At 41.6% G+C, this 18,646-nt stretch overlaps 1 long non-coding RNA gene across 1 annotated transcript in view; it reads right to left on the reverse strand.

The window, feature by feature from the left end:
* Positions 1-18,646, reverse strand: part of LOC105378236 (uncharacterized) — a 34,936-nt gene that overhangs the window by 7,154 nt on the left and 9,136 nt on the right. Inside the window, exon 2 of the long non-coding RNA XR_944432.3 lies at positions 4,962-5,032. This is a non-coding gene — a long non-coding RNA (uncharacterized LOC105378236). The remainder of the gene's footprint in view (positions 1-4,961; positions 5,033-18,646) is intronic.

An 18,646-nucleotide genomic window follows, 5' to 3' on the forward strand; every position in this document is an offset into this window, starting at 1 on the left:
ACTATGTCAATTTTGCTCATTGGCATATTCCTAGTGCCACTGTACTGTGTGAAAAGTAGATGCTGAATAGATGTTTGGTGATTGAATAAAAAGTGAATAAAAGAAATGAAGAAAGGAAGGAAGAGAAGAAGAGGGACTAAGCCAGCCAGCCAGGTAGCCAATCAGGAAGGTCCATTCAATCTCTCAACACCTTTCAGGTATACCTTCTCAGTTCCCAGGGCTGTAGACAATACAGGAAAGTAAGAAGATGGTACCAAATATAAAACCTAGATAAATAAGATTTCAGAGACTCAAAAGACCTTTTCTGACCCCATCTCAATCTAAATTCGATCTGTAGTTATTTTCTTTCTCTCATTGTGTGTGTCTGTCTCAGAATTATTCTTTTCCTTCCTAGTGCTAGGCACAATTTATTTGGTTGGTTATTTTATGTGTGTCTATTGTGCACATTAGCTCACCACTATAACCCCAGCACCGGGCACAGTACCTGGCATGTAGGGGTTCTGAATGAATGTCAGTCACCAGTCTAGTGCCATGGGGGAAGCAGGGACACAGAGAAAAAATGGACGTGGCACCTGATCTTAAGAACCCATCAATACAGTGAGGAGAAGAAGGATAATGAATGTGAAGCATCTTGTTAAATGCTGTGCAAATATAAATGATTATTGGGCACCTTTTGTGAATGTAGTAATAATATGCTGAAGCTTCTGGTAACTAGAATTTCTGGGTTGATTAGCCTGATAGAAGGGTACCTTTAGGAACTGATTCTTTTCTAAGGGATCATTTGTTCATTCAATGCATACTTACTAAGTACCTACTATGTGTCATGTAATGTGTTAAGGAGTGGGGAGAAATATACAGGATGAAGTGGATCCCAGCTATCATGAAGCTGGAAGCTTCCAGAAGTAGCAACTCTTTCATTCTTCTTTCTCATCTTTAGTACCTACAAACAAAGGGGTTGCTGCCATATACTGCAGGACCCCTATTGCAGGCCCATTAGAAAAGCATTTGCACTAAGAAACTGTGGTCTGCCAGGCATCTATCTAGAAGCTGCTTAGAGATGTACAATCATAACACATCAGCCTAACTGTCTGCATTTGAGTTAGCAGCTCCCCACCACCATTCCCCATGACATGTTGTAAAGAATATGAGCTGCTGCTCAGTTTGGTCCTAGCAATTGCTAAATGTATGGCCTTATGTAATCTCTGCAAGCCTCATTTTTTCATCTGTAAATTGAGGATAATAATACCCACACCAGAGGATTGCTGTGAGGTTTAAATGAGATAATACATGTAAAGTACCTACCAGAGTACTTATGGTAAACAATAAATCATTGTTTGTTTGTTTGTTTTCGTTACTATTGCACTGACTTGACCGGGCATCTAGTTCAGACAATGGGGAAAATGGAGCAGCATGATCATATTCATTTTTGTTTTTTAAAACAGGTTTTTTAATTGATGTATAATAGATGAGCATAGTTTCTGGGTACATGTGACCATTTGATACATTCATATAATTTGTAGAGATCAAATAAGTGTACTTGTGATATCTACCACCTTATATATTTAATCAGACTCTGTCTTTGCAGAAAGTACAAACATCTACCATTTAATTCATTCAAAGGAGCTTTTAGGGAAGAGGAAGGATAGGTAGAAAAGCTTGAGGAATAGAAGCATAGAGGCTAGTTGTTCAGTAACCTGGGTTCTGATCCCTTTCAGCCACTAACTTCTCTGTGACTGGGGTAAACAATACACTTTCTTCATCCTACCCTAGTTTATTTCATCTATAAAGGGATGGTGCAGAGTGGCTCAGTTCTCCAAGCTCTTTCAACTTTCCTCGCCCATGATTCCACCACTAGAGTCTACATGGAACACATTCTTTAGCTTCTGCAAAGTCTGGAGACATCTAGAGCTGAGATGTGTGATCAGGCCTGTGGTCTGCACCAGAAATTGGGCTGGAATCTGCATGTCTACCTGCCACTGCCTGGGGCAAGGAGCTGATGGTTCTATTGCCCATCTGAGAGGTACCACCTCCCACCCCCATTCCCAGGCTGGCAACTCCTCCACTGGAACTGTACTGATGATGATCTCTTTGTAGTCCAGATACTCATCCAAACTCCAGCCCAATCTGGAACATTTGCCATGAGTATTGCTGGCCCCCCATTCTTCTTCCCTGCCTCAGCTGCTCTGAGGGATTTTGTGCCTGATCCATCAGCAATTGACAAGAGCCAGAAGAAAAGGATGGAAAAGAAGTAAGCAGAGGTGGAAAAGTGAGTGCTGAGTCAATACTGGGTGGATGAATGTTAGGTAGGCTGGGTGAGACTTCATAGATAGATGAATGGGTGATGAAGAAAGGTGAGGGACTGGCAGTGTGGTAGACCAGCACAGTGCCTGCATGGAGAAGGCACCGAGTAAATACTTGCCATGTCAATGTCGAATGTTGTTGGGAGAGAGAAAATGAAATAGAAGAGAGAAAGAAAAAGGAACAGAGAAATAAATAATAAGTTAATAGGGAAGAAGGACAGAGTGAAAGAATAGTAACAGATGGATGTGGTAGATGATAAAATGAGAGAGACATAGCTAAAACTTGAGAAGTCCCTTGCAAAGGGTTTTTTCCATGCCCTTTGTTAGAGCTGTCTGAAGTTTCAATGCTGACATTAAAAACTTAGTGTATATGTGGATATGTGAAGGCACTGTCCTCTATTAAAACCCAGAATTTCCTGAACTGGACAAAACAAGAAGCTGCTATCAGGTTAGTTCTTCTCAGAGTCGATCTGACAGCTGGGTTTGAATTGAGGTGCCCATGAAAAGACAAGGAGGCAAACCTAGGCCAGGACTGTGGGTTGCAGTAGTGGAAGAGTGAACACAGCAGAGAACTAGGCCCAGCAACGTGGAATTGAAGGCTTCAGATGATTCTCTTACAGTGTGACATCCCTTGACTTCTGCCTCACTGGACCTCTGCCTGTTCCTAAGAGCCATCATCAGTTGGGGCTGGAAACCGCTAGACATTGTTTAGCTCAGGGTTCCCCAACATGGAACATACACACTACTGGTGGTAATGAAGATTTTGTTGTTGTTGAACCCAGGTGACCATTTATTTATTTTTATTGTATATAAGGTCTACAACACATCTTGATATACATAACGAGGTGATTACTATAGTCAAGTAAATTAACATATTCATAATCTCACATAATTGCATATGTGCTTATATAGTGATCTTCAATTAATCTAAGTGATGCTGCTTTTCCATTATAATAGTGATATAAATGTTTCTTGGTAAAATTTAAGTTTAAAAAGTGAGTTGATGTAAGGAAAGAGTATTAAAAAATGATGACACAGCTGGCATGCAGTTATTGGAGCAGTGATGAGATTGCATAGCTAAAGTTAGAGAAGTGCATTTCTAGTTCAAACTCCCCATTTTATAGATAAGGTAATTGGGGTCCAGAGGAAGAAAATGACTTGCTTAGTGGATCAGAATCAGGGATACAGTTGGACTAGAATTCACGTCTCCCACTTTCTAGTTATCTTAGTTTATTTTGTGCTGCAATGAAAGAATACCTGAACTGGGTAATTTATAATAGACAGAAATTTATTTGGCTGGCAGTTCCAGAGCTTGGAAGTTTAAGATCAAGGAGTTATATTGGATGAGGGTCTTCTTTCTGTGTCATCTCATGGAAAAAGGTGTAAGGGCAAGAGAGCGTGCATGTTCGAGAGAGACTAAACTCGCAGCCTCAAGCCCTTTTATAATCACATTACATCATTTATAAAGGTGGAGCCTCCCACTGGGCCCCACCTCCCAGCACTGTGGAGTTGGGGATTAAGCATAAACACAATTGGAGAACACATTCAAACCATAGCACTAGTCAATGAGCTTTCTCCCTGCCTATGCTGCCTCCATAATCCTCCTCTGATAATCCTTCTTAAAGCCCCAAGCAATTGGCCTGTTAATTAGGGATCTGTTTGACAAATACTAAACCTCCTATTGCTTTCATTTAAGGATAAAAACAATATATTTGTCTTATGATGACTTGTCATGGTAGACACCTTGGATTTATATGAGCATTAGACATGGTGTGAGTGTTGTGGGTTGGCCTTGATTTATGGAATAAGTACACATCGAGAAAAATGGCATAAAAATCAAACTTGTACAAATTGAATTCCATTTTTCCATTGATTTACTTTATCTCAGAGGTGTTTTTACCTTAATTTTTGAATTATTTATACTTGGTAATTGCTTCAAGCTTTTTATTTCTTTATAAAGAAAATAACTACACTGAGAGTCTGAAAAAATGGGTACTAGTTTGAACTCAGATACAAACTCATTATGTGACCCTTGAAAAATCCTGAGCCTCTTTGCTCCTCAAAAGGCTTTTCAAAATGAAAGGAAGAATGACAGAGGTTGAGTGAGGGGCTATCTAGGAGCCTTTTCCTCTCTCTCTGTAATATCATAGACTTCTCTGATTTTACATTCTTGATCCCAGTTGGCTTTATCTCATCGTTAGCCTTTTCAACGTCAAAAACAAATGTGAAGCCACCAGTAAGGACAATGTCAAATTAATTCCATAAGAATTAGCAATATGGAAGTAGGCATGAAGGGATGGTGTGAGGTGATGCAGTGGACAGCTTTGTAATTTTCTGCTCAGCATCCCTTTGCAAGGCATTACTCCTTGCTCCAGTCAAAACCACTGCAGAAGGATTAGTTAACTATATTCTACTGTGACCTCATCCCTAAGACGATTGATTGATTCAGGGGCAGACAGGCACCTGACCAAAGCAGAGCTAATCAGGGTATCTCCTGGGGATTGTCATTGTAGTCTTAGAAAATAGAAGCTAGATTATCTTGGGGTGTCTATATTGATAAGATACATAAAGCTTTAAAGCTGTTGGTGGTTGTCTTCATTCATTGTGTGCTGCTATAACAGAATATCTGAGAATGGGTAATTTAAAAGTTTATTGACTCACAGTTCTGGTGGTTAGGAAGTCCAAGGCTGAGGGGCTGGCATCTGGTGAGAGAGCCTTCTCGCCGTGCCATCCTGTGGCAGAAGGGCAAAGAGAGGAGGGGAGAGAGAGTGAGAGCAGGTGAACTCCTTCTTTTATAAGGAACCCATTGCTGTAATAACAAAACGACTCCCACATTAATGGCATTAATCTATTCATGAGGGAAGCACCCTTGTGATCTAATCACCTCTCATTAGGCCCTACCTTCCAACACTGTTGCTCTGGGGATTAAGTCTCCAACACCTGCTTTTTGGGAGACACATTCAAATTATAGCAGTGGTCATTTTCGTCTTTAACCATAAATGCTATGATGCTTTAAGGAAGGAGCAAGAGAGAACTAGAGCAGGCACACAGGGAACAGAAGAAAAAAGGAAGAGAATGTGACTTCTGATGGCACTTAAGTATTTGGTTCCAACATTTCTTAGCCTTAACTGCATTTTATTCTTACCCCCAATGAGCCACCCTATTGTCCTTGTCCTTATAAATTATTCTCCCAACACACTTTTCTAGTTACTAAGATTGATTTGAATTGTCCCTTGCAACCAAGGGGATTCTAATACATTACCAGGGCCCCATCCCAGAGCCACTGAATCAGAATCTCTGGTGCTGGGTTTCAGATATTAGTATTGTTAACTCAAAAATCACAAAATTTATAAATTTAGAAAGGAGAGTAGACTTTCTTATATAGGGTTACAGCTTGCAAGGTGGCCATTCTGACAGGTTGGGAAGTATAGCCTCCTGCAGAAGCCCAAAAGGCAGGCACTTTGAGGGAGGGGTGGGTAGAACAACAGGGATTCATGCTGAGTGAGTTGACCATGTATACATATTCAACAGGTTATAGGAAGAGCTATGAATATTCATGAGCAGGGCCATGCATGTGTAATAACCAAATATACATGTTACATATGACCCATGTTGTCACCTTGCAGTAGAGACATAACATTTAAATGTATTACAATGAGGCCCTATATGTCAAAAGGTGAAGGAGGGACCTGAGGGCACTTAGGGACACAGCCTCTATAAAATGGCCAGAACCAGTCCATGTCAGTGAGTGGCCTTCTTATCAGGAGGAAGTTACTGAAATCAGTCTCATTTACAATCAAAGATATGGCTATGGCTTGTGGAACAGGAGGGGCAGGTAGTCAGCATCTGGCAGTGAGCGACAATTGTTTTAATATTGCTTATTGGGAGGCCATTGCTTGTTTGGTTGCTAGAGTAAGAAAAAAAGCCTTGTGGCAGTTAGAACATAGTTTATTCTTTTTTTTAATTATTATTTTACTTTAAGTTTTAGGGTACATGTGCACAATGTGCAGGTTAGTTATATATGTATACATGTGCCATACTGGTGTGCTGCACCCATTAACTCGTCATTTAGCATTAGATATATCTCCTAATGCTATCCCTCCCCCCTCCCCCCACCCCACAACAGTCCCCAGAGTGTGATGTTCCCCTTCCTGTGTCCATGTGTTCTCATTGTTCAATTCCCATCTATGAGTGAGAACATGTGGTTTTTGGTTTTTTGTCCTTGCGATAGTTTACTGAGAATGATGATTTCCAATTTCATCCATGTCCCTACAAAGGACATGAACTCATCATTTTTTATGGCTGCATAGTATTCCATGGTGTATATGTGCCACATTTTCTTAATCCAATCTATCATTGTTGGACATTTGGGTTGGTTCCAAGTCTTTGCTATTGTGAATAGTGCCACAATAAACATACGTGTGCATGTGTCTTTATAGCAGCATGATTTATAGTCCTTTGGGTATATACCCAGTAATGGGATGGCTGGGTCAAATTGGAAAAAACTACTTTAAAGTTCATATGGAACCAAAAAAGAGCCCACATCACCAAGTCAATCCTAAGCCAAAAGAACAAAGCTGGAGGCATCACGCTACCTGACTTCAAACTATACTACAAGGCTACAGTAACCAAAACAGCATGGTACTGGTACCAAAACAGAGATATAGATCAATGGAACAGAACAGAGCCCTCAGAAATAAAACCACATATCTACAACTATCTGATCTTTGACAAACCTGACAAAAACAAGCAATGGGGAAAGGATTCCCTGTTTAATAAATGGTGCTGGGAAAACTGGCTAGCCATATGTAGAAAGCTGAAACTGGATCCCTTCCTTACACCTTATACAAAAATTAATTCAAGATGGATTAAAGACTTAAACGTTAGATCTAAAACCATAAAAACCCTAGAAGAAAACCTAGGCATTACCATTCAGCACATAGGCATGGGCAAGGACTTCATGTCTAAAACACAAAAAGCAATGGCAACAAAAGCCAAAATTGACTAATGGGATCTAATTAGACTAAAGAGCTTCTGCACAGCAAAAGAAACTACCATCAGAGTGAACAGGCAACCTACAAAATGGGAGAAAATTTTTGCAAACTACTCATCTGACAAAGGGCTAATATCCAGAATCTACAATGAACTCAAACAAATTTACAAGAAAAAAACAAACAACCGCATCAAAAAGTGGGCAAAGGACATGAACAGACACTTCTCAAAAGAAGACATTTATGCAGCCAAAAGACACATGAAAAAATGCTCATCATCACTGGCCATCAGAGAAACGCAAATCAAAACCACAATGAGATACCATCTCACACCAGTTAGAATGGCAATCATTAAAAAGTCAGGAAACAACAGGTGCTGGAGAGGATGTGGAGAAATAGGAACACTTTTACACTGTTGGTGGGACTGTAAACTAGTTCAACCATTGTGGAAGTAAGTGTGGCGATTCCTCAGGGATCTAGAACTAGAAATACCATTTGACATAGTTAATTATTTTTAACTGTAGAGGTGAATGATGAAATCCTTGTCTGGTATGGCTTTAGGCCTTGTTTATAATTCCATACTTTATTACCATAAAGAGTTCATTCAGTCAGTCTTACGATCTCTATTTTAACATTAATGTTAATCTACAAAACGGAAGGGATATAATGAGATGTATTTGACCTCCTGTCCCATCATGGCTAGAAACTCCAATTTTAAGTTTTCTTTTCTGGGGTCCCCTCGGCCAAGAGGGTGTCTGTTCAGTCAGGTAGGGGGCTTAGGATTTTATTTTTAGTTTACAGTACTTAAAATCTCCTTGGCTGGTTTTCAAGTGCAGCCATGCTTGAGACTCCTGCTTAAAGGTACAGCAAAGAGGAAGGAGGTTGCCACATAGAGTGTATGAGGATGCTCATTCCAAGCCATCTTTACCTAGCTGCCCTTGAGCCCAATTTCCCAACTGATCCTCAGTCTCCTACCTGTTAGAAACAGTTCTCCTTATCTTACACTCTTCCCACAGCTGCTGGCTGTGTCACAGGTTGTGTTGCTCAGGCAGCAGACTCTGTGGGGGAGATTAGCAGTCAGGCTTATTTAGGCATGAAAGCTCTCAGGATCCACATCTGGGAAAGGAAAGAAACAAAAGTAGGTGGGGCAAAGGGAGATGCAGACGCCCCAGGAACTGTGCAGCTGAACTGACCCCTCAGAGCTGCTCTGAGTTGGCCTGAATGAGGGATCCTTTATCCTCCGAGTCACTGGATGGCAGTGAGACACACTTCTTCAGCTGAGACAATTCTCTCCAGCAGCCCCCAACGTTTTTGGCACCCAGGATGGGTTTTGTGGAAGACAGTTTTTTCCACTGTTCTGCGGGGAGGAGGGGAGAAGTGGGGGGAGATGGTTTCAGGATAAAACTGTTCCACCTCAGATCATAAGGCGTTAGTTAGATTCTCATAAGGAGCACTAGATCCCTTGCATGAGCTCAGGCAGTAACACTTGCTTGCCCGTCACTCACCTCCCCTGTGCACCAGTTCCTAACAGGCCATGGACTGGTACTGGTCTGTGGCCTGGGGGTTGGGGACCCCTGCTCTAAATGAACGAATAGTGGAGGACGTCATTCCTGATGGGGAATCTGAATGACATAGCTCAGCGTCAGTCACCCCCAACATGTGAAACCTCTTATATGACAAAGGGAAATCTTTGTTCTCTCCTGAAACCTTCTCCACCTCTAATGTTTCCTTTTAAAGTGAAGGGCCCCACGGTACATTTAGACACCTGGTCAGAAACCTCCAGGCAACCTCTTCCTCAACGTCTAATCCAATCAGTCTCCACATCTTTTAGAATCACCTTTAAATATTTTCATTATAGTATTTTCCCTCTTTGTCTCTGCTACCATTGCCTTAGTTCAGTTTGCCATCACCTCTCATCTGAACTATTCCCACAGCTTCCTAATTGTTCTCCCTGCTTCCTGAATTCTTGTTCTTAAATTCACCCTGCGTGCAACTGCCAGAGGGATCTTTCTAAAATGCAGAGCAGAGCATGTTGCTCCCCTCCTTAAAACCTTTTAGTGGTCCCTCATTGCCCTCAGGATATCAGCCAAATCTTAGTGTGGGCCCTGGAGTCCAGAGCCCACCCTCATCTGGTTCCACTTTCCCTACCTCTCACTCCCACACTCCACACTGCTTATCGCTCCTGTCACTCAGGTCACTGCTCTGTGCCCTCCTTGATCTGCTTATGCTGTTCACTGCTCTTGGAATGACCTTCCCTCTCCATCTCTCTAATTTATATTCATCCTAGAAGATATCACCTCCTCCAGAATATGATCCTGAACTCAGGTTCCCAGAGATTTTTGTCCAACAGAGCTCATCTTTGTATATTATTGTCTTTGCTTCTTATTAACAATTATGCTATAATTTTAATAGCCCACATTAATTGAGTACTTACTTGGTGCACTGTGCCAAATACTTTATATAGATGATCTCACGTCATCCTCAAAATAACCTGTGAAGTTAGTACTATTATTATCTCTATTATATAGAGGAGCAAATCGAGCTTGATGAAATAACTCTTGTTCAAAGTCACTTGGTTAGTGTAGAGGGGATTTGGAATCAAGACTGTCTGCTTACATTATTCTTGTTTTATTGATCTTTTCACCTCGGTACCCAGAACGGTGCCTAGCACGTAAAAAATAACTTGAACTAAACCCAGAACAGTGACTACATCATGGTTTCTTTTTAATAATTTATTTTCTCCACCACATAAAATAGTGTAGATTGAAAGTGGTAATAATAGCAATGCTAATGTTTAATATAATTTTCTCCAATATAAAGAAAGGTAAATGGAAGCCTTTAAGGAGTTAAGTGCTGGTCAGGGGAACCTGGTTTCAGACCCTGGACCTGTGACCACAGAGAGGAATGAAACGAAGATTTGACCTAAAACTTACTAAATTTGTTTTTCATTTCAGTAGAAGCAATGTAATGCCTGTTTTTCCACATGATAAAGACAGGTCTTTATCATTTGTTTTGATTTTCAGATCACGTGCAGTAGATATAACTGCTTGCTGAATTGACAGATATCCAAGAATTAAAGTAAAAGTAAACACATGTTAAGTGCCTCGTTTAATCTCCCTTTAACTTCCCCCCAAGCCCTCACCAGTTAAGTTTTACCGTATCAGTTTATATAGTTTTGCAAACAGAGGCTCAGGAAGCTAGAGTGACTTGGTTAAAGTCACATAACTAACTTATGGACGTTTCAAGACATAACTTCAGCTCTAACTGCAAAGTCTTTGCTTGTCCCACTGTTCCCCCGCGGTCCTGCCCACCTTTGTTCCTGAAATTCTGGCTTGTCCACAGAGATCTGGACAGCTTCTAATGGGCGTTGATGTTCTTAGGTATCTTCAATTGCTGTCATAATGGCTAGCTTGAGGGAAGGAACTGACTCTTCACCAGCTCTCATGCCCTTAAGTTAGATATTTAGCAGGTGGTCCCCTGGGGAGCCAGGTGAACATGTTATAGCAGAACCTTGAGCAGCAAGGGAGCTGCTGCTTTCTGAAACAGCAATCCTTCAGGGGTCTTATCCTAGTACATTAAACAAGAAGGAACTAAGAGAGCTTGCATAAATTCATAGAGACAGAAGATTAGTGGTTGCCTGGGGGTGGGGTGGGGATGCTGAGAAATAACTGATTAGTGGATACTATGGGGTCTCTTTTTGAGGTGTTGAAAATTTTAGAACTAGGTAGTGGTGATGATTGCACAACATTGTAAATGTACTAATGTCATGTAATTGTACACTTTAAAATGGTTAAAGTGGTAAATTTTCTGTTGTGTGTATTTTACCACAGTGAAAAAAAAAGTTTGTATAAACATGGCCAGATCGGTGGACCATTTGCAAACATGATCACTTCTCCCACTGTTCTTTGTCTAAAATGATTTTTTATAGCCACTTCGGTGGTAAATTCAACAATCAGTAGCCAGTCATAAGTGTAGCTGCAGCCTGAGTATTGACGTGGCTTGATTTTACCTTTTACTCCTGCCCAGATACTTTTCCCATTAATCCAGGAAGATAGCATGGCATAGTCAAAAAAACAGGGGCTTTGGAGTTATGTGGACTTGCATCTGAATCCCAGCTTGCTATTTACTTACTGTGTGTGTGAGGAAGTTTACTTAACCTACCTCTGAGCTTTGGTTTTTCTCACCTATAAAATGGGAATTGTAATACCTCATAGGGAGTTGGTGAAGATTAGAATTATTACCTATAAAGAGTCTGGTATGTAGAAGGTAACCAGTAAGTGGTGACCATCCTTCCCCCTTCTCCTCCCTGACCAAAGGCCCCTCCCCTTTTCCTCCTCCTTCTTCCTCCTCCTCTTTATTCCCATCATAATCATTATTAATACACAAAGAAGAAATGCTGGGGCTAGGAGAAGAGAACAGAATGTTTGGTAAATCGTAAAGCTGATAGTATTAGCAACACTAGCAATTGTTCTGATGGATGCAGACAATACTGTGAGGTCTCCAAATCTTTTTACTCAAGATCTCATTTATCCTTCACTGTTATTCTAATGATAGCCAGTATGGGCTTATTATCCCCATTTGACAGATGGGGAACTTGAGGCTCAGGGAGATCACACAAGAAATGGCAGAGCCAGAACTGAAAGAGCAAGTACTTCTGCGTTTATTGCATGCTGTAGCCAAAGCTCTAGTCAGAGCTGCTAAAACGCTTCATAGCCACTTTCATTTAAAAAGTTAAGAGTTGTGGCTGGGTGCAGTGGCTCACGCCTGTAATCCTGGAACTTTGGGAGGCTGAGGTGGGCAGATCAGTTGAGGTCAGGAGTTCGAGGCCAGCCCGTCTAACATGGCAAAACCCTGTCTCTACTAATACAAAAAAAAGAAAAAATTAGCTGGGTGTGGTGGCACACACCTGTAATCCCAGCTACTCAGGAGGCTGAGGCATGAGAATCGCTTGAACCCAGGAGGCAGAGGTTGCAGTGAGCCAAGATCATGCCACTGCACTCCACCCTGGGTGACAGAGTGAAATTGTATCTCTAAATAAATAAATAAAGTTAGAATTTTGTCATGCCAGGTGTCTACCTCCTTGGGGGCACCAAGAGATTCTGAGTGTCCAAACTGTCCTTAATTCATTTAAGCAGTGGCATAATATGAGTAAAGAACATTAGTGCTGCTATCAGGAGACCTGGGTTCTAGTTCTAGTTTGGCCATTTATCCAGCACTGTCTGGAAGATTCCAAGAAGACAACTTAAGTCATGATAATGTCATTTCCCTCTCCTCCCCTCTGCTTCCCTCCCCCTTTCCTTCTCTCCCTTTCCTCTTCCCTCCCCTCCCTTTCTCCTCCCCTTCCCCTCCCCTTCCCCCTCCCCTTCTCCTCCCCTTCCCTCCCTCTCCCCCTCTCCTCCTCCTCCCTCTCCCCCTCCCCTTCCCTTCTTTTTCCTCCTTCCTTTCTCCAATGAACAGATATTCTCTTAGATGCAAGGAATAAATATAACAACAAATAAACGATTTTTTCCCCTGCCTTTGTGGAGCTCATATTCTAGTAGAAGAGAATAATTAAAAACAAATACATACATGAAATAATTACAGGTGTTATTAAATGTTAGAAAGGAGCTAAGGTGGAGCCAAAATGAGGCTTAATAGAGACCTAACTTAGGGCCCTCAGTGAAAGAGAAGAGCTGTTTAACCTGAGTTCTGAAGACTGGGAAAGAGCCAGCCAAAGCAAAAGGAGTCGGGGTAGGGAAAGGGCAGCATTTCAGGCAGGAAACATCATGGGCAGAAGAGCTGGTGCTGGAGAGAATTCAGAAGGTTTTAAGAATGGAAGGAAAATAGTTGTTACTGAAGCTTAGTAGGTGGGGAGTGTTCTTAGCTGAGGTGTGAGAGAGACATAGCCCAAACCATTCAGCACCTATAGGCCCAGGAAGTAGTTTGACTTTTAAGTGCAACAGGAATCCTTTGAAATATTTTCTAAGCAAAGGGAGCTCCATAATCTGATTTGTGTTTTAAGGATACGAATGGAGCTCCTGTGTGGAGCATGGGAACAGAGAGGAAAGCCAGGAGCCCAGTTAAGAGGCTATAACAATGATTCAAGCAAGAGTTGAGTGGCTTTGAATAGGAATGATGACAATATATATGGTAAGATGTGGACAGGTGGATGGTATATTTTGAGGTAGACACTAAAGGACTTGCTGATGGGTTGACTGTAGGGAGGAACGGGCATGGATAAATCAATGATGACCACCACAAGTTTGGGCAAGGCCCTTGGTAGTTGAAGAAGGCTGGGTTTGGGGTATGGGAATAACTGGTTCCGTTTTGGACATGTTAGGTCCTAAAGAAAAAGCAGAGTGACAATGTGGAACAGTGAAATCAATAGTGGGACATGGATGTGAAGACCTTGTATAAAGTTCTGGAGCCACCATTAATTTAGTGAGTGGTCATAAGTGCTTTTCTCTCTCTGGGTTCTAGTTTCCTCATTTATACAATGAATGGGTTGGATTTGATGCTATCTTGCACTTGTCCTAGCTTTGACATTTCATGATTCTAATAACAAGCTCACTTGTCATTCATGAGTCTATCTAAATCTGTGTACATCTGTTTATAATTGAAGTCTCTCCCATGTCTTTTAAGCCACTGACTTTTTACTACACAAGTGCAGCTTTCTTACATATGTGCTTAGGAATCTTTAGAGGTATTCAGATGAGGGCGTTTCATTGACTCCTCCAGAATTGGGTACCAGAGTACAAACCAGAACTTTGGTTCTAGTGCTGCCACCCATTTGTTACTTCTGGATTTCTGGGCAGCATCTCTACTGCTTGTTTAGATCTTAAATCAATGGTTCCCAAACTTAGCTGTACGTTGAAATCGCCTGAGGATCTTTAAAAAGTGGCCATGCCTGACTCCATTCCCCAGCCATTCTGATTTAATTAGGATGTAGCCTGAGTATTGAGAGAGCTAAAAGTTCCCCAGGTGATTGTAGCATGCAGCAGAGTTTGAGAACCACTGTGTTAGCGGCTAATTAAGGTGCTAGCTGATAATTAAGGTGTGCACGGATAAATGTCCAGCTAACAGAAAGAACTTAAGCAATCACTCTCCTCTCAGGATTTTAGAAGTTCCTTAAAGCCCTAAGGACTTAAAGGACAGGAATATTGGAGTGGTAGGGTGTATTAGTCCATTCTCCAGCTGCTATGAATAACCGAGACTAGGTAATTTATAAAGGAAAGAGGTTTAATTAACTCACAGTTCCACATGGCTGGGGAGGCCTCAGGAAACTTAAAATCATGGCAGAAGGGGAAGCAAATACATCCTTCTTCACATGGTGGCAGGAGAGAGAAATGTAGAGCAAAGTGGGGAAAACCCCCTTATAAAACCATCAGATCTCATGAGAACTCACTCACCATCATGGGAACAGCATGGGGGAACCACGCCCATGATCTAATCACCTCCCAGGAGGTCCCTTCTCCAACACATGGGGATTAAAATTCAAGATGAGATTTTTGGGTGGGGTCACAGTTAAACCATATCATAAGGCAAGAAAGCTATTACTGTAGGAAAAGGGACAGTTACAGGTCTTGTCTGGTGACAGTGTGCCACAGATCTACTTTTCTGCCATTTCCTCTCCCATCTCCCTTTAATAGATTTTAGACTTTCATATTATATATTTTGAATCAGAATCTTGCTATATTAGTTAACAAATACTACAAACATACTCTTTTTTTTTTTTGAGGCAGAGGCTTGCTGTGTTGCCCAGGTGGGAGTGCAGTGGTGCAATCTTGGCTCACTGCAACCTCCACCTCCCAGGCTCAAGTGATTCTCATTCCTCAGCCTCCCAAGTAGCTGAGACTACAGGTGTGCACCACCACACCCAGCTAATTTTTTTTGTATTTTTAGTAGAGATGGGGTTTCGCCATGTTGGCCAGGCTGGTCTCGAGCTCCTGGCCTCAACTTAATCTGCCTGCCTCAGCCCCTCAAAGTGCTGGGGTTACAGGTGTACCCAGCCTTAGAAACATATTCTATCACTCCCATGTCTGTGACCATAGCAGAAATTAGCAATCAATCATAGAAGTTGTTCCTCCTGGGCCTGGATGTGGCTTCACAAGTTCTCACAGCCACTGTACCAGTGGGTCAGACTCTAAACCGAGGAATACACATGTACACACGCAGATACATGGGTGTGTGTGTTTGTGTGTGTGTGTGTTTGTTTTAATATTATAAGGCCCTATATTCCTGATGGTGACTTTGAAAAAAATCACTTGTGCTCTGTGGTCTTAAGTTTTTTTTTTTTTTTATCTGAAAGAGGAAATTTGGATTCTTTAGTCTACTAGTTGGAAAAGCACAAGAGGCCTGTCACTGCAGTGGTGTTTTCTGGGGCTCAAGTTAACAAGAGACAAATCACAGATTCAATCAAAAGCTGCATGTGGAAGGCTCAATACCATTTTTTGAGAAAAGGAAACCTTGGGGTTATTCATCTTCACCTCATAGGAATCAAGCAGAAATAGAAATTACCTTTCAGGAGAAGGAATATATAACTTACAGCTTTTTGAGATCGGTTTTACATTTATTTTTTCTTATTCAATCTAGTTCCTTTATGGAACATAAATTAACCTTAAAGAGTAGCACTGGAGAAGAGTGAAAGATTATTGCATTTTCTCTCTCTCTACAATTTAAAGTTTAAAAATCATAGTTATCTTCTTTTTATTTATCAAAGGCTATGAACTTCCAGAGCATTGGTGAAAGCAACCAAAGAGGGATGAACAGTGTTTCATAAAGGATGAGGGCTTAAATCTCCTCACTCCTCTCTGAAATTCCTTCTCTGCCTACAGGTTCTCCTCTTTGGAAGGCGTATTGCTGCCTGAGAAAGACCCAGGCAAAAATTTGCATCCCAGCCCTCAGGATTCCAGGTCTTTCTTTATCAGAGGCTGGAAAATATTTCGGCTCCCCTACCCTATCAGCACAGAATACAGTGAATAGGGTCAGACTTTGGAGCCAAATGTGGGTTCCCATCCCACTTACTTCATGCTTGTTGTGTAGAGTTGGACAGCTCAGCCTCACTGAGCCTTGGTTTCTGCTAATAAAGAAGCTAGTAAAGCCTGTTTCTCAGAAGTTTGAAAGTCAAGGGCCAAACAGAGGGCATGGCCTGGGGTAGATGCTCTCCTTAGAAAAACTATCCAAGAAAACCTGCTCATAGCATAACAGTAATGACCTGTTTCAAGCTTAACATGACAGATACTTTTCCTTTCCTGGTAACTAGAGGACAAAACTCTCAGTGGCCATGCCTTCTTGGTGGAAGGTAAATTTCCTCAGCTGTCATCAGGCTACATAGGGACTCCCTTTTGTCAACCTCTAGAGATCCGCCCTTCTCTCTATGTGTCTCTGGAGGGGTTGCCAGTCATAGGACCCTTCACTCCTTTACCACAGGAGAGGACAGGTGGCCCAAGCCAGACCAGCCATGTTCTCCTTCCATGCTCTCCTCTAAAGCTTGATGCATGATGGGAACACTCTTGCTGTAGTCAGGTTGAAAAGCAAGAAGCTAGAACAGGGTTATCATAAGGCTGTTTGAGAAACGACAGTTCATGAATTCCTTCCATGGAGAACTCCAGACTCTCCTTTCCTGACTTCACAAGACCATGACATTCATAAAACTCACTCATCCTCCAGTTCCAAACACTACCCTGTGTCATCCCATTGAGCTCTTCTTTTTCATGAGAGAATTAGGAGTAGTGTCTGTTGCCGGCAAAGAACCTGACTAGTATATGATGGAAGTTTCCCAACATGGATGAGGGTCTTCCCTTTTAACATAATATGACTACATTTACTAATTAATTCCTGAAAAGCAAAGGCTATATACTTTTGCTTTTATACAAGTATTGAATCTACTAGTGTAGACATGGTATCTTGGAGCCAAGAGGGGCCCCAGAGGATATCCAATCTAAAGTCTTCATTAATAACTAAAACACCTGAGGGCAGAGATTGAGTGTGACTTGGTCTTTGTCCCACAGTCATTTGGTGGCAGACCTGGGTTTCAAATTTAGGTCCCCTGACACTGAGCCTTGTACTGTTTTACCTCTTGTCATCCTTATGTTTGCGGACTTAATGCTTTGAGCTCAGCACCCACAAGACCACAGTAATAGCTTGTATCCTCCTGAAAGCTAACAAGATTTCTTTCTCCTGCATATAATCCACACCTGTGCCCTAGACCAGGTTTCTGGTCTGTTTCAGGCTGCTGGTCGGAAGAGGGGATGGGGGCTAGTGTGAGAGAGTGACATTGAATTTATACAGCACAGACCAGTATACAAGCAACAGTTCCGAAGCTCCACTGAAGCATGGCCTTTGCACAAGAGAGTCACGTACTTTGAATTTCTTCTTTACCAGGGATATTCTGAGCCTAATCAATACTTTATCTTCTCTATCCAGAAAGCCTTTCTACTTTCAAAAGTAGAAGGCTTCTACTTTTGAAATAGCAAAAAGTGGGAGAGAAATTCACTCAACACTAAAAGAAATAGAGAAAACAATTTGCTTTTCCCTTTACAGATTTCAGAGAATCTTGAAACAAAACAAAAACAATAGACAAAAAAAAGCATAAGAGCAATCACTGGGCCTTTTTTTGTAAGCAGCAGGAAAGAGGAAGGAGAATAGCTTGAGTGGGCCTTGTTTTAATAAAGTGAGATGGGGCTTTTAGTGTGACATGTTTAACCAAGGCAAAAGAACAAAAACACTGGCTAAAAGCTATTGAGCACTTACTGTGAGGCAGGCACTGGCTTCAGCGTTATTTGTGCTCCACAGCCATTTTGGGAGGAAGTATTCCCACTTTAGAGATGGGGAAACTGAGGGTCAGAAAACTGAGTTCATTTGTCCAAGGTCATACAGCTAGTAAGTAGTGGAGCCACGCTTGAAACTAGGGTGATTTAAACTCCAGTCCCTTATCCAGTATGCTTTACCACATCCTAACCACAAAAGGAATGTGTCCATAACATGTTTTTGAAATCTGCAACAAGCCAGAAAATTCCTTCTTTTTGCATAAATAAATTAGGATAGAGATCCGACTTTGCAAATTTAATCATTCCTTTTTCTTTCTCACCTGAACCAACCTTTACCAAGTGCTTGGAAAAGGCCACTTAAATACATAGCCCAAGAAAAATGTATCTTTATGATTAATATTTGTTAAAATGAGGAGTGACATGGTAATAAAATGGAAAGGTTTGGGGGCCTTTGGGAAAATCCATCTGACTGCAGGCTGTGGTTTCAGTAATGATGCTGCTACTTTCCGGTCATGAAGGTAATGTTTTTTGATGCAGGTGGAATTATTAACAAGGTGAATATATCTGCCTGGAGGGTGGAGGGCTAGAAAGAAACTGCCTGTAGGAA

Source organism: Homo sapiens, chromosome 5 (assembly GCF_000001405.40).
Source record: "Homo sapiens chromosome 5, GRCh38.p14 Primary Assembly".
Taxonomy (NCBI): Eukaryota; Metazoa; Chordata; class Mammalia; order Primates; family Hominidae; genus Homo; species Homo sapiens.